The sequence below is a fragment of the Homo sapiens genome, chromosome 7, assembly GCF_000001405.40.
Source record: "Homo sapiens chromosome 7, GRCh38.p14 Primary Assembly".
In the NCBI taxonomy this organism is placed as follows: Eukaryota; Metazoa; Chordata; class Mammalia; order Primates; family Hominidae; genus Homo; species Homo sapiens.
The window spans coordinates 124,262,576-124,263,932 of NC_000007.14; the positions used below are offsets into that span (position 1 = coordinate 124,262,576).

General features: G+C 36.0%; 1 annotated feature.

The window, feature by feature from the left end:
- Nucleotides 972-1,151: an enhancer, noted in NCBI's record as "active region_26572". NCBI's record gives its function as "activates an Ori minimal core promoter by ATAC-STARR-seq in GM12878 lymphoblastoid cells {active_cell/tissue: GM12878}" and the evidence as "EXISTENCE:reporter gene assay evidence [ECO:0000049][PMID:35858748]".

The window sequence follows — 1,357 nt, forward strand, 5'->3', positions numbered from 1 at the left end:
AATGCTTTTGTAAAAGTACTTGTAATACAAGATAGAGTAGTCATTTTCCTTTAAGAGTCAAAAGGTGCTGTGACATCATAAACCTTGCAATAAGAAGGATAGTATTGAAATTTTAAAGTTTTTGTTCTTTTATTTCATTAATCCCCTATAATACAATATTATTCACATTTTTACTTGGAAAAAAGGAATCTGAAAGTTAAATGTCCACAGGATCGGTTTTCAGATGATATGAGTTTTTCAGTTAATGTACTAACCTCAATTATGAAGGTTTATTATTATTATTATTGCTGCTAAAGTTAGAATAAAAGAAAAGCTAAATTTTCGACACAGAGGAGGGGAAAAAAGGTGTTTCAAAAAGTTTCATTAAAAATGATAGTAATGTTCTTTTAAAATTATTTTTAAAACAAAAGCAGCATGGCATTTGGAAACAAAAGGCAATATTGATGATATTACAATCTGCCTTAGATATTTGGCAGACAGTAATGACCACCTCTATGTAAATTTTGTGGACCGTGTACAGGAAAATAATCTGATGTAAACCTTTGTTGCGTTCACAGCTCTCAGATGGTCGTCAAGTTTGGGGGCTCTCAGGTGGTTCTGGTTGACCCACTTCCTCCCTTCCAGTTAGATTCACATCACAAATACGTCTTGGGCATTGTGTGATGTTCAAGAAGCTTATTCTGGCAGCGCTTCTACAGGATGAACAGCAGGAGGAGGCTGGCAGCCCTGGCCAGATGCAGTTAGGGGAAGGATGACCGCCTGAGTGACAGGGCTTTCATTACAATATCATTTTCAGAGTTTGAGGGATTCTTCCTCTTTTGTGTACTTCTATTCAGTCTGGGTTAGTTGCCATGTGTTTTTTTGTTTTGTTTTGTTTTTATTTTTTATTTTTTTCATAAAGAAAGTTTAAGCCATCTTGTAAGGGAAAGCTTTGTTTTAAGGTTCATGAAGTTGCATCTGTGCTAAGGTGGCCTTGTGTCTAGAGTAGCCAGGGTTTTTGTCATAGAGACCATTGTCATAGAGACCTGGTAATCTCCTGGCCAGGGCTGGAAATCCCCAGGCCAGGTTGCATCATCTTGCTCGGCAACACATAGTGTAGGACTTGTAAGATGTTTGAGTGAGCCTGTGGCTATTCTTAATCTTCTAGCCACTTATTAGCCACTTGAGCCAATCTTAATCTTATAAAGAGACATAGAGATATGTCTTTTATAGTTATACCATAACTTTAAATGTCATCTATTTGTTTCGCTAAAATTTTCAGTGTTTAAAGAATGGTGTTTTGGTTACCCAGAGGCAATGTTTTAAATTTAGAACTTTTAATGTTGAGGTACTGCCATATTCCTTTTGTTTTAAAGAC